At 38.6% G+C, this 27,997-nt stretch overlaps 1 protein-coding gene and 1 long non-coding RNA gene across 20 annotated transcripts in view, besides 1 other annotated feature; one reads left to right on the top strand and one right to left on the bottom strand.

Moving 5' to 3' along the window:
- Positions 1–50: a silencer, noted in NCBI's record as "silent region_16179". NCBI's record gives its function as "represses an Ori minimal core promoter by ATAC-STARR-seq in GM12878 lymphoblastoid cells {active_cell/tissue: GM12878}" and the evidence as "EXISTENCE:reporter gene assay evidence [ECO:0000049][PMID:35858748]".
- The window catches only part of ARB2A (ARB2 cotranscriptional regulator A), a 493,975-nt gene that overhangs the window by 3,572 nt on the left and 462,406 nt on the right, over positions 1–27,997 (bottom strand). The gene's annotated exons all lie outside the window — the stretch shown is intronic.
- The window catches only part of LOC124901028 (uncharacterized), a 53,162-nt gene continuing 25,550 nt past the window's right edge, over positions 386–27,997 (top strand). Inside the window, exon 1 of the long non-coding RNA XR_007058874.1 lies at positions 386–647. This is a non-coding gene — a long non-coding RNA (uncharacterized LOC124901028). The remainder of the gene's footprint in view (positions 648–27,997) is intronic.

A 27,997-nucleotide genomic window follows, 5' to 3' on the forward strand; every position in this document is an offset into this window, starting at 1 on the left:
ACCCCCGCCCCCTCGCGGGCGCGGGCCAGCCGACTCCCAGGGCACAACTAGGGCTGCGGGGTCACTTGCCCCCTGGCTCAGAGGAACTCAGACTTCGCTATCCGCGGCGTCTAGGCGTCTCCGGCCTCAGTCCCCATCCCTCTCCCAACGCGGGGACGCGGCCCGGATCTGTCCCGGGGTCGTCCGAGGCGCGGCTGGCCGCCCGAGGCCTCCGCCTCTCCGGGCCAATGGAAGCGCTGGGCGGGAAGGGCCACTCCCTCTCCCTCCGGGAAACCACCCACTCCCGAGACTCGGCGCGCGCGGGGATTGGTTTCCCCTGCGTGCGGGATCGCACAGCGCCTGTTTCCTTGCTTCCCAAGGGGGTGGTGTGGAGGGGAAGGGGGAATGATTTTTCTTGCGTCTCCCGGAAGCTGTGCTGTTAGACACAATTACCTCAGCTAGGTCACTGAGACCAAATCATACGGGACGCTTAATGAAGGACCGCATTCAAAAGGGATTACGCCTTGAAGTGTCCTGGCGGGCGACATTTTTACAGATTTTAAGGGGCAAATTTAGAACAGCTAAAAAAAAGGTTTCAAAGCCGTGACTACTAAAAGAGCATCTAGGCCTCCCATTTTATCAGGAGGAATTCAACTTAGAAAATGCAGGTTAGTTGTCAATTTATGGGGTTACTTTATTTTACTACGGCTTCTCTCTGTGGTTTCGATGTAATACTAATGTACAGCATGTTTTCAAATCAAATCGACCTTCAGTTTAACACAGGCAGCGGATAACACGGATGCAAGCATAAGAACAGATGAGGAAATACATTTAGCTATTTTTGACTCCCTGTGATGGCTTATGTAGCATTTTACCAGTGGCTTCATAAATGAGCACTTTTTAAAATTAAAAATTAAAATAATTACAGACTTCCACAGAAATAATGAGTGAATAGCTTTTAAACAGTTGAAATCTCTTCCTAGATCACTCAATTATGCAGAGAGATACCGCTTGGAAGTCTCCGGATTCAGGGCCTCAGTCTGATACTTTAACATTGTTAATGATAATTCTTTAGTCTGTAATAGTAGGTCATTGCTATGGTTACTCTACAATGGTGCAACACTTTGCTTTCCCCTTCAGCTATTCGCTGAGACCTGGTAACCACATTTGTTGCCTAGCAACAGTTTTGTGACAGTATCACAATCTAGGAGTTACAACAATAAGGATGCTATGGCTGCTGTCGGCCAGAGAGCAGAAAGCTACAGTCTGTGCCTGACTTAGCTGTGGGAGCTGGCCCTACTAGAGAACCCCTCTCTCTTTATCAGTGCCCTCCCAAGGATTCTCTCTATCCTCCTTTCCTCTGCAGACTGGCCTCATGAACTTGAATTTGAAACTAAGACCCAGTATTAAAGTCATATCCCCCAACTCAGACTAAAAATGAGGTCATTTTATTTGCTTACTCATTTTGGGCAAAATTCATTGTTACTCAATAGGAAGGAGGGATGAGTGTAGGTTTATCTTGTTAAATCCTAAAGTGCTAGGTGGATTTTGACAATTCTTCATAGAATTCTTGGGGGAAAATTATATATATATGCCTGCTTGCATCAATAGGTGTTATAATACATAACATCTAGATATTATTATATTTTTACTGATTTATTCAAATGACAATCTTAAAGGATTCTTTTGAATTTGGAGGCATTTATATTTTCCAAACCTAACTGAGCAGTTCTACATATGCTCAGACATACCTGCTTTAAATGATATTTGCGGGTAGATCTAGGAGGACCAGTTTCTGGATAGGGTTATCAAATGTGTGTCTCTATTCTATAGTGTTTGCAACCCTAGTTTCACTTCAGTAATAACTACACAGTTGCACTTATAATGGTAGGACATTTTAAAATCAATTGTAATTCATTTTGAAAGACCATTCTCAGATGCATACTACGTGGCAACACCCACCCCCAAATACAATAAGCCAAAAAAAAAAAAAAAGGTGTTAATTGTCTCTTTTCGTAACCATTTCCCAAGCTTACAGCCACATTTGGCATTTCCTCCATAGTGATCACACTTACACCTACTAGTGTTACTAAGGCTATGATCAATTTGTAAGCTTTCTCAGGGAATTCCCCTCATAATTCCTCCCACCCCTTGAAACCAATTCAATCTATGAATCTAGAGGGACCTAAGGAGTCAACGGTCTGAAGCAATTTTAACTCCTTTATTTCTTCTTTACGGGTAACAATCCTTCTGAAGGATGAACAGATTTCCCTGGTGATAAAATCACTACAAAAGCTTTTTAGTTTTAGCTTTTGATGACTCTCTGCTTGATTAGTCCTGGACTGAAAAGACCAGAGTCCCTGAGATAACTGAATACTTGTACTGGCTCTCAACATTTACTCTTGTAATTTAAGAGTATAAATAATGAGAATGTGTGCTTCTGTCAGACGAAGGGAAATTGCTAGGAGTAAAGGTAATAAGGTAGGTTAGCAACTGAATTACAGAGAATGGGGTGGAAGGGAGAGAATTCTCCCTAAACTAAGGAATGATAACATGAATATGTAATATAAAAATGTCTTTTCTAAATTTTTGGAAGTAGATTTTAAATGATTTTTAGAATACCATTCAGAAGTTGAATAATTACATGTCTAACTTGGACTGCATATATACATTTCAAGAATATGTTTGGAGACCATTTTCAAAAATTTAGGTCCAAAGTTCAGTGAAAATATTTACAGATGAATATGAAACTCTATCCATGACAATGTTCAGTGAATGGAAACTTTTGAGAGCAGGTTTCTAGTACTTAAAAAATACATCACTTTAGGGGACATTAAGTGGGATGCTTTTTATTACATCAGTACAGAAACACTAGACCATTACATTATTTGTTCATAAAAGGATATAAAAGGTAGAAGTTTAGGTCAATCAAAAAAGCAGCCATTTATTAATAAAATGCAATGATGTAGAAATCACAGGGAAACTAGTTTATTTAGCACTAACCTTGTCATTTGAAGGGGAAAAACATGGTTTTATGGTTAAGGTCTAGTCTTTTCACTACCACCACTTTACCCTTATCAGAAGTCTCTACTTTTCAAACCAATAATTTTCCTAATTTAGAGAGTTTCACAAAATATAAGGAGTAAAATGTTTTTCCACATTAAATATCTGCCAAGTTCTCAAGGAATGATTTTGGTATCATTTAGGAGTGGCAGGCTTGGTCTAACTGGATAATTCACCTTTGGAGTGAATTCAGTTTCCTAGTCTATAACATCAATTCAGTATAAAAGTAAAATGTAAAGGATCACAGCACTTCATTACAAAAAAATACCTTTGCTCAGTTTCAATCAGTGGTTCTTAATGGAGATGATAATGGCCTCTGGAGGCATTTTGGAAATTTGCAGGGATATTTTCGATGGTCAAGATGATTGGAAGGTGTTATTGGTATTTATTGGGAGAAGGACAGGGATAGTGGATATCCTGTAATTTGCAAGGCAGTACAGAATTGTTCTGCATCCCACATGATTTTCAAATGTTCAGCAGCTATTCATGTAGTTGAAAACCTGTTTATAATTATATGGATTAGAATTTAAATATGTTTTACAGATAATCTTAAAATACTTTTTGCATGATTTTAATATATACTGAATTTTCCAGGAATACAACTACCGTGTAAATCGAAAGGGTCATGCATTTTATGTTTTTCAGAGTCTTACCAAGAGTGGTTTACCCTATGAAAAAAATATCATAACTGATGGCACCATGCCCATGGTACTTGAGGTGCCAATAAGCATACCTGTATCAGCCCGCATCTGTAGCTGTCAAATTCATGATGATTCCATGCATAGGACCAAGTATCTGACTACTTTATTATGTCTTCTCATGTAGGTTTGCCTGAGCACTTTAAATATTGAAATCCATATTATTTTATTATGAATTACTTTTATTCCTTCTACATGTTAACTAGAGCATTACAAAGATTAACAATCTCGTAAGTAGGTAGATTATGTTATCTGTAGAATTTATTTCAGGACAGTAAAAGCACGGCATAATATTTGTTATAATAGTAGCTAATCAAAGGTCAGCTTAAATAAAAATGAATAATTATTTCTTACTATATTAGAGATTAATTCTTCCAATAATCTGAACCCTACTCTAGCTATCTCTCTTATCCTTGTACAGAGCAGAAAATACCTATTTTTCATTTTTCTTATGTTTCTTCCACAAATGCCATTTGTCAATGATGTTATTCATTGTGAAGTGACTAAAAGGCAGGGGATCGTCCAATGAAAATACTACCCTGAATATCCTTGACTTATCACTTGTTTTAAAAAATGAACTGTAGCAAATTTTAAAGGAGTGAAAATAGCAAAAGTGGTGAAAAAGATTAGAAACTCTAAGAATCAAGAATGAGACTATAAATCATATGAGAAAGATCAAATTGCTAAAATGTGTCATTTGTTTTCCCAAAAGACTACATATTTAAGAAAAAGTGCCTTGTAATAGAACTGACAAAGAGGGAGGCTACATTCATGTAATAGCATTTAGAAAAAATGGTTAAAAACAGCACTGAGGGTGGAATAGCAAAGAATAGGATAAGAGAGATGAAAACATTACTGCATCTTCTGTCTTATCTATTCCCCTTACTTCTGCCTGTGAATGACTCTGATTCAAGTGTTTCTTATACATCAACCCTGCCCACACTCCTCTTTACTTGATCTTAGTGTTTAGAAGTATTTTTGCGGGGGCAGGGGCAAAAAGTAATCAAAGTATGCTACTGAATTAGCAGCCAAAATCCTGATGTTTACTTTGGCAGATGTATATTATTTTGAAGCTATATGTCATTTTATGCAGTAGATGTCTTAAGTTATATGGGAATATAATTTCTGTTAATGAAATCTATTTTTAAATGAAGACATGGGTTATTTACCTTTTCAATGAATCCCTTAATAAAGTGAATAATTTTCTGGTAAAGCAAATAATCATTCTTCAAATGATATCACACACACACATGCATACACACATACTAATCAGATTTTCCAGAGATAAGGTTTACTGGTAAACAGTAAAAAGACTGAAGAACAATCTGAGTTGTAGAGTAACTTATCACCAAAAAGATAATTTAAAAGAATTTCTTCATCTGCCATTCACTCTTATAATTATTGTTAGTCACTTTATCTTACATGGTCCTAGACCAAAAGGTCATGGAATACAGGCATACCTTGAAGATATCGTGGGTTTGGTTACAGACCACCCCAATGAAGTGAATAGTGTAATTAGGTGAATCACACTTTTTTTTGGTTTCACAGTGGATATAAAAGTTATGTTTACACTATGCTCCAGTCTACTAAGTGTGCAAAAGCATTATGTCTAAAAAGACATTGTAAGTACCTTAATTAAAACATGCTTTATTGCTAAAAATGCTAATAATCATCTGAGTTTTTAGCAAGTTGCAACTATTTTGCTGGTGGAGGGTCTTGCCTCCACGTTGATGGCTGCTGACCGATCAGAGTGATGATTGCTAAAGATCAAGGTGGTTGTGGTAATTTCTTAAAATAAGACAATGATGTAGTTTGCTGCATTGATTGACCCTTCCTTTCCTGAAAGATTTCTCTGTAGCATGTAATGTTGTTTGACAGCATTTTACCCACAGTAGAACTTCTTTCAAAATTAGTCAATCCTTTCAAACCTTGCCACTGTTTTATCAACTAAGTTTATGCAATATTCAAAATTCTTTGTTGTCATTTCAACAATGTTTACAGCACCTTCACCAGGAATACATTCCATCTCAAGAAACCACATTCTTTGCTCATCCATAAGAAATAACTCCTCATCTCTTAATGTTTTATCATGAGATTGCAGCAATTCAGCCACATCTTCAGGCTCCACTTCTAATTCTGGTTCTTTTGCTATTTCTACCACATCTGCAGTTTACTTCCTTTACTGAATCTTGAATCCCTCAAAGACGTTCATCCATGAGTGCTGGAATCAACTTCTTCCAAACTCTTGTTCTTATTGATATTCTGACCTCCTCCCATGAATCACAAATGTTCTTAATAGAAGCTAGAATGGTGAATCTTTTCCAGAAGGCTCTCTCAATTGACTGTACCCAGATCCATCAGAGGAATCACTATCTCTGGCACCTACAGCCTTACAAAATGTGTTTTGTTTTTTTTTTTTTTTTTTGAGATGGAGTCTCACTCTGTCACCTACTGCTGGAGTGCAGTGGCATGATCTTGGCTCACTGCAACCTCCACCTCCCAGGTTCAAGCCATTCTCCTGCCTCAGCTTCCTGAGTAGCTGGGATTACAGGTGCGCACCACCACGCCCAGCTAATTTTTGTGTTTTTAGAGACAGGGTTTCACCATGTTGGTCAGGCTGGTCTTGAACTCCTGACCTCGTGATCTGCCCGCTTTGGCTTCCCAAAGTGGTGGGATTACAAGCATGAGCCACCATGCCCAGCCACAAAATGTATTTCTTAAATAATGAGACTTGAAAGTTGAAACTACTCCTTGGTCCATGGGCTGCAGAACGAATGTTGTGTTAGCAGGAATGAAAACAACATGAATTTTCTTATACATCTCCATCAGAACTCTTGGGTAACCAAGTGTACTGTCAAGGAGTGATAATATTTTGAAAGAATTCTTTTTTTTTTCTGAGCAGTAGGTCTCAACAGTGGGCTTACAGTATTCACTAACCTATGCTGTAAACAAATGTGCTGTCATCCAGACTCTGTTGTTCCACTCATAGAGTGCAGGCACAGTAGATGTAGCATAATTTTTTTTTTTTTTTTTTTTTTTTTTGAGATGGAGTCTTGCTCTGTCACCCAGGCTGGTGTGATCTTGGCTCACTGCAACCTCCGCCTCCCAGGTTCAAGTGATTCTCCTGCCTCAGCCTCCTGGGCAGCTGGGACCACAGGCACGTGCCACCACGCCCGGCTAATTTTTGTATTTTTAGTAGAGATGGGGTTTCACCATGTTGACCAAGATGGTCTCGATCTCTTGACTTCATGATCCTCCCATCTCGGCCTCCCAAAGTGCTGGGATTACAGGCATGAGCCACAGTGCCCAGCCGATGCAGCATAATTTTTAAGGCCCTAGGATTTTTTAAAGTGGTAAATGAGTATTGGCTTCAACTTAAAGTCATCAGCTTCATTAGCCCCTAACAAGAGAGTTACCCTGTCCTTTGAAGCTTTGAAGCCAGGCATTGACTTATCCTCTCTAGCTGTGAAAGTCCTAGATGGCATCTTCTTCCAATAGATGACTGTTTTATCTACATTGAAAATCTGTTATTTAGTGTAGCCACCTTCATCAATGGTCTTAGCTAGATCTTCTGGATAACTTGCTATATCTTATACAGCAGTACTTGCTGCTTCACCTTGCGCTTTTATGTTCTGGAGATGGCTTCTTTCCTTAAATCTCATGAACCAACCTCTTCTGAAGTTTCCAACTTTTCTTCTGCAGCTTCTTCATCTCTCTCAGCCTTCACAGAATTGAAGAAAGTTAGGGTCTTGGTCTGGATTAAGCTCTGGCCTAATGGAATGTTATGGCTTGTTTGATCTTCTATCCAGACTACTCAAACTTTCTGCAGATCAGCAATAAGATTGTTTTGCTTTCTTATCATTCATGTGTTCACTGGAGTAGCACTTTTAATTTCCTTCAAATACTTTTTCATTGCATTCACAACTTGGCTAACTGTTTTGCAAGAGGCCTAGCTTTCAGCCTGTCTTGGCTTTTGACACGCCTTCCTCACTAAGCTTAATCATTTTGATCTTTAGATGGAAAGTGAGAGATGTGAGACTCTTCCTTTCACTTGAACACTTAGAGGCCATTGTAGGGTTATTAATTGGCCTAATTTCAATATTGTGTCTCAAGGAATAGGGAGGCCTGAGGAGAGGGTAAGAGACGGCGGAATGGCCAATCCAACGAGTAGTCAGAGTATACACTACAATTATCAATTAACTTTGCCATCTTCTATGGGCATGATTCTTAGTGCCCCAAAATAGTTATAATATTAACATCAAAGATCACATAATCATAACAGATATAAAAATAAAGAAAAGGTCTGAAATAGTGCAAGAATTGAAAAAAATGTGACATAGAGACACAAAGTAAGCACATGCTGATTTTTTTTTTGAAAGGGCGGTAACAGGCTTGCTTGACACAGGGTTGCTGCAAATCTTCAATTTGTAAACAATGCAATATCTGCAAAGTGTGATAACGTGAAGCTCAATAAAACAAGGTATGCCTGTAATTTTAACAATCTACACATAATTTACTTCCTAGGGTCTGGCTTAGAATAGGGAATATCAATTGTTCACCTTTGAATATGAAAGATCATCTTTTATATCTTTGTTCCAGGGAGAAAAAACCCAAACATGTGCCCCTACCCTCTCACCCTGCCCCCCACAAAATAATACATTTTTAAAGAAAAAGGTAATGAATAAACTTTGTAAATTACTATGATAAAGGAGGCAGGAAACTAGAAAGATATGAAACACATTAATATTAACAGGATAATATGTCTATGATATTTCCAAAATGACAAGGCTTGATTTTAAAAATTGATCTTTAACAAGAAAAAGGAGTATGGGCAATTAGGAAGTAATGAAGACCCTGTCAATATAGCTATGTTGATAATAACAGGTAAGGGAATTCTTGAGAAAATCTAATATATAACAATCAGGAGATCTGTAATATGCGTTATTGAGTCCCATTGGGATTAACTAATGAACTTACGAGCTTACCAGCAGTTATTTTTAGAAAGCTATAAAGAATCAGAGAAATATCAGAACACTGAAAAATAATGTGCCTTCTAAAAAGAAATAAAATATAACTACTAAAATTCATTTAAAAATGAATTCTAGAGCTTCTAAGAACAATATCCTTTTTGAAAAAATGAAATATACAGTTACTAATATTTGCACAAAGAAGGGCTTCTATTGGAAATCCTCCCAGTTAGAAGGGACAAGTATGAGCCGGCCACACTGGGAGTAGTGAATGGGGCGTGATGGGGTGTGCACGGAGATTGTGTAAGGAAAATGCCAAGTGCAGCTCAGAAAACATGTTACAATGCCTTGTTGAATTACCTGCATAAGATACAAGCAAGTTCTCTTTCCATTGCTAACACAGTTGCAAGCCCTTTAAAGTTGAGATTGTATTGAGACTGTAAAGGCAAGAAGTCAAGTTTGACCAGAGATAATAGGCTAAAAGAAAGACACAAAATCAGCAGCAGACACTTTGCATCATTTGTGGCTTCTGGCACAACCTATCCTTTCCTCTAGCTCCTTTTCTGCCAAGTAACTCTCATCTGGCGAAGCGTGGGGGTGGTACAAGAGGGCGTAGTGGGGGCGCAGTGGAACTTGGGGCAGTTTAAGATTCAGGGAAGACGGGTGCGGGGCCTTTTATCTCAGCACTTTGAGAGGCTGAGGTGGGGTGAATCTCCTGAACTCAGGAGTTGGAGGCCAGGCTGGGCAACATCACAAAATGCCCTCTCTACCAAAAATACAAAAAAATTAGCCAGGCGCGATGGCATGCACCTGTAGTCCCAACTACTTGGAGGCTGAGGTGAGAGAATCGTTTGAGCCCAGGGAAATAACTTTGGGAAGTAAACTTATTCCTTTTTTTTCCTTTAAGACAGGGTCGTCTTGCTTTGTCACCCAGGCTGGAGTGCAATGGTGTGATCTTAGCTCACTGCAGCCTTGACCTCCGAGGTCCAAGCAATCCTCCTGCCTCAGCCTCCCAAGCAGTTGGGACTACAGGCGTGCACCTGGCTAATTTTTCTATTTTTAGTAGAGACAGGGTTTCTCCATGTTGGTCAGGCTGGTCTCGAACTCCTGAGCTCAGGCGATCCACCCACCTCAACCTCCCAAAGTGTTGGGATTACAGGCATGAGCCACCATGCCAGGCCGTAAATTTATCCTTGAGGTGCAGTAGACAGCCTGCCTTGCTGTGGGTCTCTGACTTTCAACCTTGGCTGGCTTCTCTAATCAACCTTCTCCTAGACAATAAAAAATGTATGCATTTTTGTTACTTCGATTGCCTATAAAATATAGACAGCTGTTATAGAAATGTTTTGTTTGGTTTTAACTCTTGTCTTATCTCACATACTACTCTCACTGTTGCCACAAGGTCTTGCCTCCAGGGTTACACTGTTTCCCATTAAAACTTCAGCTCAAGCCTGGGCAAAAGCCTCCCTTTCCAGTTTCCCTTTGTCATTTTCAAAAGTAACTTTACTAAAGGATTTTAAGTTAGCACAGAAGTAAACAAGGGAATCACAAGCAAAGAATCACAAAGTAGTTACTTCCCTAAGAACAAGTTTCTGATTCTAATAGTCCCAACACACTTAGCAAAGAGCTTTACTGGGCCCCAAGTTGCTTCATTGTAAAATAACACTGTTGAAAAGGGCTGGTAGAACTTTACAGATATCTTGTCAGGCTTTTCCTCCCAGCTTCCCCTCACTGCTTAGCTGGGTACCTATGGCTGCCAGTTTGAGAGACAAGACAGAGAGGGGGGAGGGGGATAGGGAGAGGGGGAGAGGGGAGGGGGGAGAGAGAAGCTAGCGCAGGGAAGAATGAGACAGAATGAATTGCAAAATGCTCTCCTTATTTCAAAGCAAAACAAAACAAATGTGAATTTACTAGTTCAAATATCCAAATCTGTGGCCCTCCTCCTTTCTCAATTGTGAATTCTATTATAAAGGATATATTGTGTGGAGAGAGAGTTTTCTCAGAATTCCTGTGATTGACTAATTCGTACATGCATTCATTGTATGCCAGGCACTGTTTCTTGGTACTGGGGGTGCAGTGGTGAGCAGAGAATATAAGGGCTCTGCACACTTGATAGGGGAAAATGACAACAAATAAAAAGTAAACCAATGAACGTGCAAACTTCAGAGAGTTAGAAGTACTAAGAAGAAAACCCAATAGGGGATGTGAAGAGAATGAAGGGGAGGATGAGGTGGGAAGGAGAAAGAAGGCCATCGGTTTCAACTGGGTGAAGAACACTTTTGACTTGAGACCTGAGTGGCAACAAGGAGCCAGGTGAAAGTCTGTGGGCAGAGTGCTTTAGGCAGAGTTGTGGAAGAACAAGTGCCGGGGCTCTAAGGAGGAAAGAAGTTGTCATCGTTGAGGAACTCAAAGGGTTAGTGGGACTGGAACATGGTGTGTGAGGGGAAAGTGGTGTCAGATGATTCAGGGAGATGTGCATTCTCCAGGCCATGTGAAATCTTGCAAGTCATACTGAAGGGTTTTATTCCAAGTTCATTGGAAGATCTGTTTACAGGGTTTTAATCAGGGGAGAAATATAAACGGACTAGCATTTTAAGAGTACACTGGCTGGTATGTAGAGAATGAGTTATGGGGAGTGAGAAGGATGAATTTAACCCTTCCTGACTGCACTTACCAATTCATCCTGCCTCTAGAGCATTCTCTGGGACTCTCCTTTACACGGCTCAGAGTACAAAAATTCAGTTACTGCTAATTCACATATAAGGAATAAAATCAATCTGTAGCAATAGTAATATGAAGTAGGAGTTGAAAGAAAGCCTAGTAAAACAATATTTGAAGGTAGTGAATTAAAAAATGGAGTTGAACTAGAAATAACATTTTGCTAACAATTCTGCTTCTGTCATATACTCTGATACCTCTGGTTTCTCAGCCCTTAGGACCGTTGTGTGTGGTGGTAAGGTATTGGGATGGGGAATACACTGTCATAATATTCCATTTCTGCAATCAGTCCAGAGGTGACTGGTGGGCCTACCCTCCAGGCAGGCTCTTCTACTGAGTTCTTCACTTCTACAGATGGTCACAGCATTCTCTTAGCTACTCTACCTCACAGCCTGAGTCATCTTTGATTTTTCTCTCTCATTTGCTGCCTCCTGATCCAATCAGTTAATAAATTCTGACAATTAAACCTCATGAAAGTTTTTTTCTTCCTTTCCATTCCCTCTGCAATCCACAGTGATCTAGATTTAATGGTAGATCATTTAGAGTTCAGAAATCCCTCCTAACTGATTTTACTTTCAGTCTTCAGTCTCTCCCCTTTGATCTTGTGTCCTGCTACCAAGTGAAAAATTCTAAGGTGTCATTTGTGTCACATACCTCTTCCTATGCTTCAAAATATCCAATGGCTCCTCATTATATAAAATTAGGTAGAAATTCCTTAATTAGGCTTAAGGCCTTCTATTCTCTGGCTCCAGCCTCCTTTTCTAGGTTTATCATAACCTCAACTCTGCTTGTATAAGTATCCCCTATCCTGTCAGGTCCAGTTCCATTGACATTCCTTAAGCCTTTTCAAATTCTTTATTAAACATCTACTCAACATATTCTGTCTTACATTTCTGTATTAGCTTATGTGTCTTTAAAATTATATAGCAATGCCCAGGCCCACACTGACAAAAGCAAATCGCAAGGAATACATACCTGTGTTTCTTTCGATTCTAAAATCCAGTCAGAGATGAGATTACTATAATAAAGTTTTTGAAGGTAGGGGTCAGACTTTACTCATCTTCAACATAGATTGACAAATCTACCCTGTCTATATATATCTGAGACAAGGTATTGGTCTGTCACCCAGGCTGGAGTACAGGGGTGCAATCATGGCTCACTGCAGCCTCTGCCTCCAAGGCTCAAGAAATCATCTTACCTCAGCCTCCCGAGTAGTAGGATTGTAGAGATGGGGTTTCGCCATGCTGCCCAGGCTGGTCTTGAACTCCTGGGCTCAAGCGATCTGCCTGCCTCAGCCTCCCAAAGTGCTGGGATTACAGTCGTGAACCACTGGGCTTGGTCGCAAATCTACCTTATATTGAAGTGTATGCTAGCTCTCAGAGTTAAGAAAGAAATTCCTGGCCGGGCGCCGTGGCTCATGCCTGTAATCCCAGGACTTTGGGAAGCTGAGGCGGGCGGATCACGAGGTCAAGAGATCGAGACCATCCTGGCCAACACCTGAAACCCCGTCTCTACTAAAAATACAAAAATTAGCTGGGCGTGGTGGTGCGGGCCCGTAGTCCCAGCTACTTGGGAGGCTGAGGGGGGAGAATCGCTGGAACCCAGGAGGCGGAGGTTGCAGTGAGCCGAGATCGCGCCATGGCACTCCAGCCTGGTGAGAGTGAGACACTGTCTCAAAAAAAAACAAAAAACAAAAAACAAAAAACAAAAACCACAGGAGAAAAAAAGACAAGCTGAAGAAAGCAGAGTATATTTCTTGCCTTCTCCAACAAACTGATGAGGTGGACTCAGGTGGCCATAGTCCATAGCGACTAATTGATAAACACTGACAGATACTCAAAGATCCTCCAGATCTCTTTAGCTAAAATGTTGTGCTTATTAGTAAATACAATTTACTAGCATCAAAGAGTTTTAGTGCTAGCACTGAGAACTCACAGAAAGTCAAACTTTAAGTGTTCATGAGCTTGTATTCCCAAGATGTAGCTGACTTGGCCGAACTTTAAATGCAGATGGAAATATATCAAATATAAAACTGAGACTCTTTTCCTTTCTCATTTTCTCTTTTTTTTTTGAGATGGAGTTTTGCTCTTGTTGCCCAGGCTGGAGTGCAAGGGCGTGATCTTGGCTCACTGCAACCCCACATCCTGGGTTCAAGTGTTTCTCCTGTATCAGCCTCCCGAGTAGCTGGGATTACAGGTGCGTGCCACCACGCCCGGCTAATTTTGTATTTTTAGTAGAGATGGGGTTTCACCATGTTGGCCAGGCTGCTCTCGAACTCCTGACCTCAGGTGATCCGCCCGTTCTGGCCTCCCAAAGTGCTGGGATTACAGGCATGAGCCACCGCACCTGGCCTTCTTTGTCATTTTCAAAAGTAACTTTACCAAAAGATTGCAAAGTAACATAGCACTAAACAACAAAATGCAAAGAACCATAAAAGAGTTATTTCCCTAAGTACAAGTTTCTGATTCTGATATTCTCAACACATTCAGCAAGGAGCTTTGTAGGGCCCCAAGTTCCTTCATTGTAAAGTAACACTGTTGACATTTTGCCTTAATATAGTCAATATTTACAAACTAGTTAAGCATTGAGATAGTAACAATTTTCAGAAGATGTATGTCTAATTGTTTTAAAAGCCACTTCAATATTTACTTCCTCTACTAAGCCTTCTTTGATTAACCTTAGCTCATACCAACTACTCCCTTTAGGTTTCAGTATTTTCTATACAGTTTATACGAAAGTTTTTTTTTTTTTTTTTTGTGAGATGGAGTCTCGCTCTGTTACCCAGGCTGGAGTGCAGTGGTGCAGTCTTGGCTCACTGCAACCTCCTCCTGCCTCAGCCTCCCAAGAAGCTGGGAGTACGGGCGTGTACCACCACACCTAGCTAATTTTTGTATTTTTGGTAGAGACAGGGTTTCACCATGTTAGCCAGGCTGGTCTCGAGCTCCTGACCTCAGGTGATCTGCCCACCTCAGTCTCCCAAAGTGCTGGGATTACAGGCATGAGCTACTGCGTCCGGCTAGTTTATATTAACTTATCGTGTACTTGCTTTGCTTTACTAGTCATTTCATGTATGAGATACACCTTATTTTACTGCCAAATCATTTGGGGAGAAGGCTTCCAAATTATTTATCCCAGAAATCATAGTTGAGGCTTTATAAATGTTTGCAAATGTTTATAAATGTTTGTTGTATAAACAGGTTTCACAAACACAATTAACCATAAAATTTATGCTTACAAGTGTTATTAAAAACTTAGAAACTTGGCTTTTGTACTATTTGATGATGATTCCCATTTTGAAGTTAAGGAAGTGGGAGCCTACAGAAGATAATGACAGTAAAAACTTGTGAATTTACAAAGCTATTGGTATTCTGAATATATGGATAAATCATTATATGAACTTCTGTATGCACAGCATAATTCTGTATTGCTTTGACAGACTTTCAAAAGCATATATCTTGCTTTGTGGCCACTAGAAAGAGGAAGGAAGTAGGTGGTAAACTAGCCAGTATAGATTACCCCAGTCAGTTAATGATTTGGAATTGTTCTAAAGCCCAGAGACCAATTTGGGGATAATTGATATATTTAAAATACTGAGTGCTATAGACTGAATGTTTGTTTCTCCTCAGAATTCATATGTTGAAACCTAATCTCTAATGTGGTGGTATCTGGAGAAGGAGCTTTTGGGAGGTGATTAAGATATGAGGGTAGAAACCTCATGAGTGGAATTACTGCCCTTATAAAGGTCACCCCAGAGATCTCCTTCACCCGCCTTCTTCCCTGTGAAGACACAGTGAAAAGATTACTGTCTATGAAAAAGAAAGCAGGCCCTCATCAGACATTGAATCTGTTGGCTCCCTGGTCTGAGACTTCCCAGACTTCAGAACTGTAGGAAATAAATTTCTGTTGTTTATAACCCACCTAGTCTATCACAGTCTGTTACAGCAGCCTGAATATACAGCAGCCTGAATATACAGCAGTCTGTTATAGCACACTGAGTTTTCCAATTAACCCACATGATATATCTTGCCATTTATTTAGATCTTCTTTAATGCCTCTTAATAAAGTTTTATCATTTTATCCAAAGAGGATTTGCACTTCATATATTAGACTCATTTATTCATTAATTCATGTATTTATGATTACACTTTTTGAGACAGTGTAGATTCATATGCAGTTATAAGAAATAACTGAGAGGTCTTGTGTTCCTTTTATCATTTTCCCCAATGGTAACATCTTGTGCAGCCACAGTGCAATATGACAATTGTGATACTGACAATGTCATTTAAGATATAGAACATTTCCATCACCACAAAGATTCGTCATATACTGCCATTTTATAGCCACTCCCACTTCCTTCCCCCCAGCTCCCCTCCTTACCCTTGGCAACTACTGATCTGTTTTCCATTTCTACAATTTTATCATTTCCAGAATGCTATATAAATGAAATCATACACCATGTAAACTTTTGGAATTGGCTTTTTTCATTCAGCTTAATTCTCTGAAGATTTATCTAGGTTGTTCTGTGTCAACAGTTTGTTTCTTTTTATTTTTCAGTAGTATTCCATGGTATAGATATACCACAGCTTGTTTAACCATAACCATTCTCCTGTTGAAGGACATTTGGGTTGTTTAGTTTTTTTTTTTTTTTTTTTTTGACTATTATGACTAAAGCTGCTAAAACATTCATGTACAGGTTTTTGTGTGAGCACAAATCTTAATTTCTCTGGGATAAACTCCATTGCTTCGTTTCTCTGGGATAAATGCAATAATGCAATTGCTAGGTTGTACGTTAGTTGCATGTTTAGTTCATGTTTAGTTTTTCAAGAAACTGGCCCACTATTTCCAGGTCCATTGTGCCACTTTATATTCCTTCCAGCAATCTATGAGCAATCCAGTTTCTCTGTATCTTTGCCAGTAATAAGTCTTGAAGTTAGGTAGACTGATTTTTCATATTTTATTCTTCTTTTTAAAAATTGTTTTAAGTATTCTAGATCCTTTGCCTTTACATAGAAATTTAGAATAATTTTGTCTATATCCACTGTGCCGTAAAGGATTAACCTTGCCCAAAGAGAGGTCTGGCCTTTGCCCTCAGCACCTGGGGAGTAATCTCTTAGCCCTTGGAATGTTCTGCCTGATATGAATGGCTTCCTTTATTTCGACCTTTGGACTGTATTGCATCAGCTTGACCTTTGGAGGGTCTGGAGGCTAAGGTTTGCCATGTGGGTGGTTAACATGTCAAAGTAACTGAATCCCAATAAAAACTCTGGATACCAAGCCTCCAATGAACTTCCCAGATTTAGAATTCTAAATATATTCTCAAACATTGTTGCTGGAAGAAGACAGAGGTGTCCATGATTCAACTGAGAGAGGACAATTGGAAAGTCATGCTTGGAACTTTCCTAAACATTGCCATATGTGACACTTCCTTAGCTAATGTTAATTGGTATCTTTTCACTGTAGTAAGCTGTAACTGAATGTAACAGTTTTCAGTGAGCTCTATGAGTGCTGGCAAATTACCAAACCTGAAGGTGGTCTTAGAGATGCCCAAACTTACAGTTGATGTTAGAAGTGAGGGAGGCTTTGGGACTTCACAATTTTACATCTACAAAAAAATCTTGCTGGCACTTTGACAGGAATTCTGTTAAACTTATATATCAATTTGTGGAAAATTGACATCTTTATTATGTTGACTGATCAAATCTATGAACATATGTCTTTTAGCTTTTTTCTTTTTAATACTGCGTATTTGTTGGTGCTACTATAAATGGATCTTTAAACATTATACTTGTTGTTGGCATATAGAAATGCAGGCTGGGCACGGTGGCTCATGCCTGTAATCCCAGCACTTTGGGAGGCTGAGGCAGGCGGGTCACCTCAGGTTGGGAGTGCGAGACCAGCCTGACCAACATGGAGAAACCTGTCTCTACTAAAAATACAAAAATACAAAAAAAAAAAAAATTAGCCAGGTGTGGTGGTGCATGCCTGTAATTCCAGCTACAAGGGAGGCTGAGGCAGGAACATCACTTGAACCTGGGAGGCAGATGGTGCGATGAGCCGAGATTGCACCATTGCACTCCAGCCTGGGCAATAAGAGTGAAACTCTGTCTCAAAAAAAAAAATGCATTTGATTTTTGTGTACTGATTTTGTATCCAGCAACCTTGCTAAATTATCCTTTTCATCCTAAAAAATTATCTGTAGATTTTGAATTTCCTAAACAATCATATCATGTATGAATAATTTCACTTTTTTTCTTTGTAATTCTTACATCTTTATTTCTTCCAATTATAAATTTAAGAAAACTTTAAACTATAAACAAAATGTCTCCAATGTATTTATACCATTAACTAAAGAGATGAATAAAATATCACATAAAGTCAATTATTATGAACAACGTAAAACTGGCATCAAGGTACTATATTTTCTTTTTTGATTGATTTCTTATTGATGCACTTCAAAAAGACCTAGCTGTGTCAGGTAATGTCCTTCGGTTGCTGACTACTGGTCATGAAAGTTCCTGTCACTTTATGACAGATTCTGTTAGCTTCTGGAGAATCAGTTACGCTCCTAACACTATGATTTCTTCTCATCCTAGTTAAGATCATGTAGAAATAGACAATTTTTTGTTACATTTAGCCTCCAAGTCTATAGTTGTTCTCACTCTGTCTGGTACTACACTATTTTACTCCCAGTTCTTTCCCCAAAAGCATTTCTTCTCTGAATGTCTTTTTTTTTTTTTTAAATCCCACAATGCAACTGCCTTCTACATGGCAAGAATTCTTAAAGGATCCCGAACTTATTTACTTTACATCACTAATACATCTTCCATTAATAGAAAAATGCATTGATTTAAAAGTAAATAATATATTCATGAATATGTTATAGAAGTAGTAAATTACTACTGTTGACTAGTTTAGAAAATAATATGAGAACATGTAAGATGGGATTGACTACTTAATCCTGGGATAATATAACAAAGTATCAGGATAGAGAGAATTTATGTACAGTTAAACTGATATAAAGTCCCACTAAGAACTGATTTATGGGCTGGGTGTGGTGGCTCACACCTGTAATCCCAGCACTTTGGGAGGCCGAGGCAGGAGAATCACGAGGTCAGGAGTTCGAGACCGGCCTGGCCAACATGGTGAAACCTCGTCTCTACTAAAAATACAAAAATTAGCTGGGCATGGTGGCGGGCGCCTGTAATCCCAGCTACTAGGGAGGCTGAGCCAAGAGAATGGCTTGAATCCGGGAGGCGGAGGCAGAGACGGAGGTTGCAGTGAGCCGAGATCGTGTCACTGCACTCCAGACTCCAGCCCGGGTGACAGTGAGAGACTCTGTCTCCAAAAAAAAAAAAAAAAAAAAAAAATTTATGAAAAAAATTGAACAGAACCAGGTATGGCTAAACAATTGCCAGGAGGGGTTATGAAAATTGTTTGCAATTGGCCAGGTGTGGTGGCTCATGCCTGTAATCCCAGCAGCACTTTGGGAGACTGAGGCAGGGGGATCACTTGAGGTCAGTAATTTGAGACCAGCCTGGCCAACGTGGTGAAACCTGATCTCTACTAAAAATACAAAAAGTAGCTGGGCATAGTGGTGGGTGCCTGTAATCCCAGCTACTCGGGAGGCTGAGGCAGGAGAATTGCTTGAACCCGTGAGGCAGAGGTCGCAGTGAGCCGAGATCATGCCACTGCACTCCAGCCTGGGCGACAGAGCAAGACTCCGTCTCAAAAAAAAAAAAGTTTACAATCTTAATCCTTACCTTATGGATACATGGATACTGAACTCAATCCTAAATAGACATTTCAAAACTCTAACTGTGCTTTTCCTATAGGGGTGTGTGTGTGTGTGTGTATGTGTGTGTGTGTGTGTGTGTGTATACATATGTATATATACTTATATACATATGTGTGTGTATATATATATACATATACATATATATACACACATATATATATTTGGCCACTGTCCTGATGACCCATGGGCTAAAATCATTAGTGCTCAAGAAATTAAGTTTTCCTCTTCTGGAATTAAATTTACTTCTGGGTCTGTAAATATTTACAGTCTTGGGGTTTGAGATATTATAATGGATGTAAAGTATATTTTACATGTGTTACACAATTTGTTGAAAACATTATTTCCTACTTCTTTGCTTTGTATACTGGCTCTAAGCAACATTTTAAATTTAATTATAAGCCCATGCCAGGTGTGGTGGTTCACGCCTGTAATCCCAGCACTTTTGCAGGCTGAGGCGGGTGGATCACAAAGTCAGGAGTTTGAGACCAGCCTGATCAACATGGTGAAACCCCATCTCTACTAAAAATACAAAAATTAGCCAGGCATGGTGGTGTGTGCCTGTAATTCCAGCTACTCGGGAGGCTGAGGCAGGAAAGTCACTTGAACCCGGGAGGTGGAGGTTGCAGTGAGCCTAGATCGCACCACTGCACTCCAGCCTGGGTGACAGAGGGAGATTCTGACTCAAAAAAAAAAAAAAATTATGAGGCCATGAAAGTTCTTTTTTTTTCAAGTGTTTTCAAATCAAGTGATAATTATTATATTTAGATCTTGTTAAAGTAGAAAAGGATGGGAATTATTTCCCAAAGAATCTCAAATATATCCCTTGAGCATCACTATAGGTAGATGCCATCTATTATTTTATTTCTATTTCACAGAGAAAAGTTAAAAAATCATATTGATGGGAAACACCTGTGAATCCACTTATAAGATTAATATGGAGGAATAAATCTGCACATGAAAAAAGGAAGATGTTGGCTACTGAAAGATGTCTTGAGTTGGTCAGATTTCAATACTTTTGAGCCAACAATTTATATCCATCAGTAGAAACACAGGATTGTGGAAATGTTTCCCAAGAGAAGTTGTAAATGAAGGAAAACCTATAGTATCAAGAAAAAGTTACTTTGGAAACCACAATAATAAAGAATGCTATGACTCATTTACTAGAAAAAATACTTAAAAATTCTAACAATGGGGGCTAACAAATGATAAACTTCTATAGTGACTTAATAGTAAACATTTTAAAAATATCATATTAAAAATACAGCAGTAAAGCTACCTTTGCTTAATAGTTATTTATTCATACCCTCTATTGAAAAAAGCATGTGGGATCACATATATACATTATAGTAGGAAAAAAAGGGATGAAGAGTAAATGAAGTAGAGAAAGGTGGAGATGTGGTAAGGACTTGTTCATTTGCCAGTTTATGGCTAAACATTTGGTTCTGAGTTTCCTATTGATGATTGTTTATTTATTTATTTATTTTTAGACAGGGTCTTGCTCTGTCACTTGGGCTGGATTGCAGTGGAGATCATGGCTCACTGCAGCCTCCATCACCCAGGCCCAAGTGATCCTTGCATCTCAGCCTCTGGAGCAGCTGGGACCACTGGCATGCACCACCATGCCTGGCTAATTAAAAAAATATTTTTGTAGAGACAGAGTCTCCCTATGTTGCCTAGGCTTTTTTTTTTTTTTGGAGTAGGGTGGCCAGAGTCTCATTCTGTCATCCAGGCTGGAGTGCAGTGACACTATCATGGCTTACCCATAACCTCAAACTCCTGCGCCCAAGTTCAAGTGTTCCTCCTGCCTCAGCTCCCCAAGTAGCTGGGACTACAGGAGCCCACCACCATACCTGGCTAATTTTTTATTTTTTTTGGAGGCAGAGTCTTGCTCTGTCACTCAGGCTGGAGTGCAGTGCATGATCTCAGCTTACTGCAACCTCTGTCTCCCAGGTTTAAGTGATTCTCTTACCTCAGCCTCCCAAGTAGCTGGGATTACAGGTGTGCACCATCACGCCTGGCTAATTTTTTGTATTTTTTGTAGAGACAGGTTTTTGCCATTTTTGGCCAGGCTGATCTTGAACTCCTGGCCTCAAGTAATCTGCCCGCCTTGGGATCCCAAAGTGCTGGGATTATAGACATGAGCCACTGTGACCGGCCCCCAGCTAATTAAAAAAAATTTTTTTTTGTAGAGACAAGGTCTTGCTATGTTGCCCAGCTGGTCTTGAATTCCTGGCCTCCAGCAATCCTCCTGCCTTGGCCTCTCAAAGTACTGGAATTACAGGCATGAGCCACTGTGTCCAGCCCCTATTGACAATTACAAGGAGGGATACACAATTGATTATGATTTATCACATCTAGGTGATAAAAGTTAACCACCTATAGAGAATAGTTGTTTTTTTATGGTTGTGTTCTCAGTGGAGACTTTTGACACAACACTAAAAAGCATATCAGGAGAAGTAACTCAGAGGAACATTAAGATAATGTGTTTTAGGTGACTTGATAGTCTGTGCTAGCCTGGCTTGCTCAAGGGGTAAAATCAAGCATTATCTAAAGGAATGCACAGACAATATCCATTAGACAATCATATCAATATTATTTTAATTTTTGTCCAAAAAGTATTGTGTAACAGAAAGTTTGAAGTTATATTTTCTGGCAAGAACCTGGATGACAGATTATTTCTGCTATTTCCGGATACATCAATATGCTTTAATATCCACTCTTGAAATTGTGAAGCCTAACCAGGATATGTGCCCAAATAGATGGCCCCTCAGCCTACCAAAAGAGGGTAGGGAGTCCCTGGGGGAAGGAAGGGCCAAGATTTTCTCAAAAAAGCAGTTTTGGGTTCACACCTACATATGAATCAATAGATTACAGAAGTCCCAAATTTGATGGCATGTATGTAAAACTATCAGCCTTGGTATTACTCTAGCCATATAATATTATATGTGAATAGCCCATAGAATATGAAGACTTTTTATTTATTTATTTATTTTTGAGATGGATTTTTTGCTATTGTTGCCCAGGCTGGAGTGCAATGGCATGATCTCAGCTCACTGCAACCTCCGCCTCCTGGGTTCAAGTGACTCTCCTGCCTCAGCATCCCGAGTAGCTGGGATTACAGGCATGTACCATCATGCCTGGCTAATTTTGTATTTTTAGTAGAGACAGGGTTTCTCCACATTGGTCAGGCTGGTCTCAAACTCCTGATCTCAGGTGATCCACCCGCCTCGGCCTCCCAAAGTGCTGGGATTACAGGCGAGAGCCACCACACCTAGCCTAAGACTTTTTAAAATTCAATTTTAAGCAAATCGATTTTAAGTTTTAATATGTATTTCTAATAAGTATTATCATCATTAATAAACAAAAGGGAAAGTTAAAATTAAGTATTTACTATATTCCTGGTATGGCACTGTGCCCCTTCATACACTAATTCATGTACCCTGAAAATAATCTTTCAAAACAGGTAGTATTATCCTCATTTTGCTGATGAAGAAACTGAGATCTGTAGAGATCATACAGCGAAGGCCATAGTGCTTAGTAAGTAAGAATATAAGTGCCATGAAGGCAGGAAGTTTGTTTTGTGGACCCTTTATTCCTATTTCCTGTGACAGTGCCACACATAAGAGGCTCCCAATAAATACTCGTTGAAGTAGCTGAGTCCAGATCCCAGGCTCTTATCTACAGCATAGGGCTACTAGAATATAAGCCAGTTGGTGGTTTCAGTGTAAGACAGTGTGATTGCTTACTTCTTTCTGAAAGTAATGAGATCTATTGCATTTACTGCTCGTGTTAGCACAGAAAATGGGAAAATAATATACCACATTGGTATACCAGTGTGGAATTTTAGAAGCCATTTTGGTGCAATCAAAAGTTTTAATACGGATAAATATATGTCATATATTAATATTTTACACACACACACACCCCAACTGCAGACTGAACCCTTAAAGGGTCCCAGAAAGTTCACAATTATCCACTGTTGATCAATGGGGAATAAGATTTGAACATATGGATGGTCCAACAAAAGAACAGACTCAAATAGAAAACATTTCTTTACTGAGAGGTCACCAGTATACCAGAAAAAACAGAATATAAAGTATTAAATGTATGTTTCCATTAAATTTCTGCAGGGGTTTCCTTTCCTCTCTTTATTCTTTAATTTCATTTTTTAGAGACAGAGAAAACCTGTTGTATGATCCAGTATTCCTGGTTGTATTTTTTTTAAAGATGGGCACAGAACACAGAAGTTAGCATACTAGCCATGTCAACAAATACAATGACCTGTGCCACGGTGATATGATATGAAGCAGTTAATGCAACAGATAAAGTTAAGAAATCTGCATTCTTTCATTCTTTATATTCATATCATTATCTTTTTTGCTAAAACAGCACCTTGAATATGGCTTGAGTGTGATATGATGAGTATTTGCTCTGGGCTGACTAAAGATAGCAATCTTAGATAAGCTACGAACACAAACCTATTGGAGAAAAGAGCCTCAAGCTCAATGCTTCTAACTTTAGATAGCCAATCAATAGGTCATTTCCTAAACATGAGGTTTCTGTGTAATTATTCCAGCTCAGTATTTTTAAAGAGAATCATTTTCTCCAACATAGCTTCTTGTAGACTAACACAGAAGGCAACATTTACACTTTTATATTAACTCATATCTTTCCTGACATGAAAAAACAATTACAGGATGAAGGGCAGCATATGGGTCTCAGTTGAAATATGCTAAACTCTAAAAATCTTATTTTTCATCTTTGAAGATGAAATAGGCCAGGCACGGTGGCTCATGCCTGTAATCCCAGCACTTTGGGAGGCCAAGGCAGGCAGATAAAGAGGTCAAGGGATAAAGACCATCCTGGCCAATATGGTGAAACCCTGTCTCTACTAAAAACACAAAAATATTAGCTGGACATGGTGGCGTGCACCTGTAGTCCCAGCTACTCAGGAAGCTGAGGCAGGAGAATCGCTTGAACCCAGGAGGTGGAGGTTGCAGTGAGCCAAGATTGCGCCACTGCACTGCAGACTGGCAACAGAGTGAGACTCCGTCTCAAAGAAAAAAAAAAAAAAAGAAATAGAGAAAATGTTAAAAATCTAATATGAAAAAAATATGTACAGGATGATGCAACCCCAAGACACTAAAGTGTAGTATCTAAAATGATTGTTAGAGAATGTTTAAAAATTTTTAGGAACAACTTTCACTTGAATTTTAAACTTGTATTTTATACATGCAAGACAAAACACTATGTATACTCCACAATAAAAAATAATTCACACTTTATTTCAGAATTGCATTTGACCCAAATGTAACAGTTCAAGATTCATGATCAGAAGAAATATGTAACTAATTCACAAAGGTGAGTCTCTAGCAATTTGAATATATAAGTAAAGAAAGCAGTTCTAGAAAAAAGGATTTCATTAAAAGTCAGTTTTAGTATTCCTAACTATGGACTATAGTTTTTTTTCCTACACCACACAGTTCAGAGCAGCTGCATGGACTGTCATAATAATACATAATTACACATGTAAAAAGAGTATTCTATAATTGAATCTTATGAAATTATTTAGTAAGACAAATAAGATATATCATTTTGTAGTATCAGTAGTTCTTTAGTCTAAAAGATTATCTCTAAAAGAGACTGAAATAATCTTACAAGGCAAATTAAAAATTTCAAATGAAAACGATTTTAGATTTTCACAAGGGTGAAAAATAAGAATCTTCATATTTCTTAATTTATATAGCCATAGTCGCTCTTGTATTATTTAATAATCTCTCATGCCAAAAATAAAAAAAAATTCTGTTTTTTTTTCTGAGGTCTTCGGTGAAACCTTTTAACTATTGAAGTTTTAGGCCCCAGAGCAAGATTCTACAAATTTAAAACCCCTAGAAATGTAGACAGATGCTTAATTACACTTACATATGGTAGCAAACACACACAATATAAGTGGATATTTTTATAAGCAATTTTCATTTAAAACAATGTTGGAATTAAAATTAATTTGTAACTATGTCATTCTTAATAAAATTGCTCTTTTCAGCCAATATTTTTTTCCATATTTCTCCTTACCTAGGTTTAGCACAATGATTTAATTATCTAATTTTTGCAAATACATTCAAACATAAAGATTTTCTTCTGGTTAGACTCTCAAGTTCCAAAGATTCTCTTTAAAAAAAAAATCATAAAATTTAGTGATACATCATGTATAGTGATGTGATTCGAATGTTTCAGACTGAGATATGGAAAAAACAAATTTAAATATATAATATTCTAAGAAAACAAACCCAGAAGTATTATTAAGTTTAAAAATAAATTTTATTTTTAAAATAATTTCAAACTTACAAAGAAGTTGCAAGAATAATAGTTACCACTTGAACATCCTTTACCAAGATTCAACAATTTCAACAAATTTAAAAAACATTTGTCACATTTATCACTCACTTTTTCACTTTGTGACACAGGTATATACACACATACTATTATTCTGAACTACTTGATAGTAAGTTGCAAATATCATGCCCTTCAGTAGTATGTACTTCCCAACAGCAAGAAAATTCTCTCATGTAACTACAGTATAGTTATCAAATTCAGAAGATTTTCCATTGATAAGGTATTTTTTACTCTACCATTTGTATTAACATGTTCATCTTGCTAGTTCTCCTTATAGCCCTTTTTAGTCTCTAGTACAGGATCCAGTCCAGGATCACATTTTTTCTTCCCCCCCGAGACGGAGTCTTACTCTTTCACCCAGAGCTAGAGTGCAATGGTGCAATCTCAGCTCATTGCAACCTCTGCCTCCCGGGTTCAAGCAGTTCTCCTGCCTTAGCCTCCAGAGTAGCTGAGATTACAGGCACTCGCCACCACACCTGTCTAATTTTTGTATTTTTTAGTAGAGATGGGGTTTTACCATGTTGACCAGGCTGGTCTCAAACTCCTGACCTTGGGATCCGCTGGCCTCGGCCTCCCGAAGTGCTGGGGTTATAGGCATGAGCCACCACACCCAGCCCACAGTTTTTTGTTTGTTTGTTTGTTTTTGAGATGAAGTCTCGCTCTGTCACCCAGAGCACGATCTCAGCCCACTGCAACCTCCACCTCCTGGGTTCAAGCGATTTTCCTGCCTTAGCTTCCCTAGTAGCTGGGACTACAGGCACCTGCCACCATGCCTGGCTAATTTTTGTATTTTTAGTAGAGATGGGGTTTTGCCATGTTGGCCAGGCTGGTCTCAAACTCCTGTCCTCAAGTGATCCACCTGCCTTGGTCTCCCAAAGTGCTGGGATCACAGGGATGAACCACTGCGCCAAGTGCAGGATCGCATTTTGAAAATGATTAAGATTTAATAGATGCCAGGGATGGTGGCTTACATCTGTAATCCCAGCACTTTGGGTGGCTGAGGTGGGCGGATCATGTGAGCTCAGGACTTGGAGACCAGCCTGGGCAACATGGGGAAAACACATCTCTACAAAATATACAAAAATTAACCAGGTGTGGTGGTGCACACCTGTAGCCCCAGCTACTTAGGAGGCTGAGGTGGGAGGACTGCTTGAATCCAGGAGAAGCCTGTGGCTGCAGTGAGCTGTGATCAAGTGACCACACCCCAGCCTAGGTGACAGAGTGAGAACCTGTCTCAAAAAAAAAAAAAAAAAGATTTAATAATTATTTCTTATTTTAATTTAATTTTATAGGCTTTTAAAAGATAGTTTTATTTGGCATCTTTTATAAGATTTATTTTATTTCAATCTGAAACTTCAGAGTGACAACACTAATTCTATCCCTAAGTTTTATGACATTTTAAGTACATTATGTTAGTAAAAACATAAGAATATGATTAAAATATGCTTGGCTAAGTTTACATATCTACCACTGAATGATTACATTGAACACCCATCCTTTATTTTATAAAGAAACTTACAACCCAGGAAAGAAGGAAATTCCCTGCTAACTCAATGCATGCCTTCCTTCCATTTTGCTATTAGCTCTTGGAGGGTTAACTGTAGTAAAATTAAAATCAGTTAAATTTTCCACTTGTTAGGAGTTCTAGTAAAAGAGTTGATGGAGAGGAGATTGAAATCAGTGACTGAAGTGAAGTTTCCAAAATATTTGAGGCTTATATTTAACTATGATAATTTTCTTCTACAGCCATTAGAAAATGTAGAATTAACTGCATGCATGGATGCTGAGGGCTTAGAAATAGTGTACACAGCTGAACTGAGGGACTTAAAATTTAAGATCTATTTCTGGCTACCCTATCAATATGCTTGAAGTTCTAGACAAGCTATTTAACTTTAATTTGTCCCGATTTCTTTATTCCTAAAGCCAGAAAAAATACTGTTTACCATACTAGTAGACTACTAGAATTTCAGATTGTTAACCTATGGAAATTGAAATATAAAATACAGCAGAGAATCACAAGCATATCTTATTATAAAGAGTCATTATAAACAAATTATTTACCCAGGAGAACAAAGAAAGGACTTTACTGTTCTACCTATGTTTGTTACAGAAAAAAGTAGAAAATATATAAGTTAAAAAACATTGAAATCACCAATAATCCTACTGTTCAGAAATAACAACTTGGAACATATCTTTTCAGATTTTTTTCTGACACATAAACATTCATTTTATTATTATTTTTGTTTAAAAATGCATTATTTTATTAATGGAAAAGCTAACCATATTTCACAACAAATGCATTTTTAAAATGACACTATACTGAGGGTTCTTATCCTGGCAATTGGTTAACCCTCACATTGGTCACAATGATAAACTCTGGACAA

The sequence above is a fragment of the Homo sapiens genome, chromosome 5, assembly GCF_000001405.40.
Source record: "Homo sapiens chromosome 5, GRCh38.p14 Primary Assembly".
NCBI lineage: Eukaryota > Metazoa > Chordata > Mammalia > Primates > Hominidae > Homo > Homo sapiens.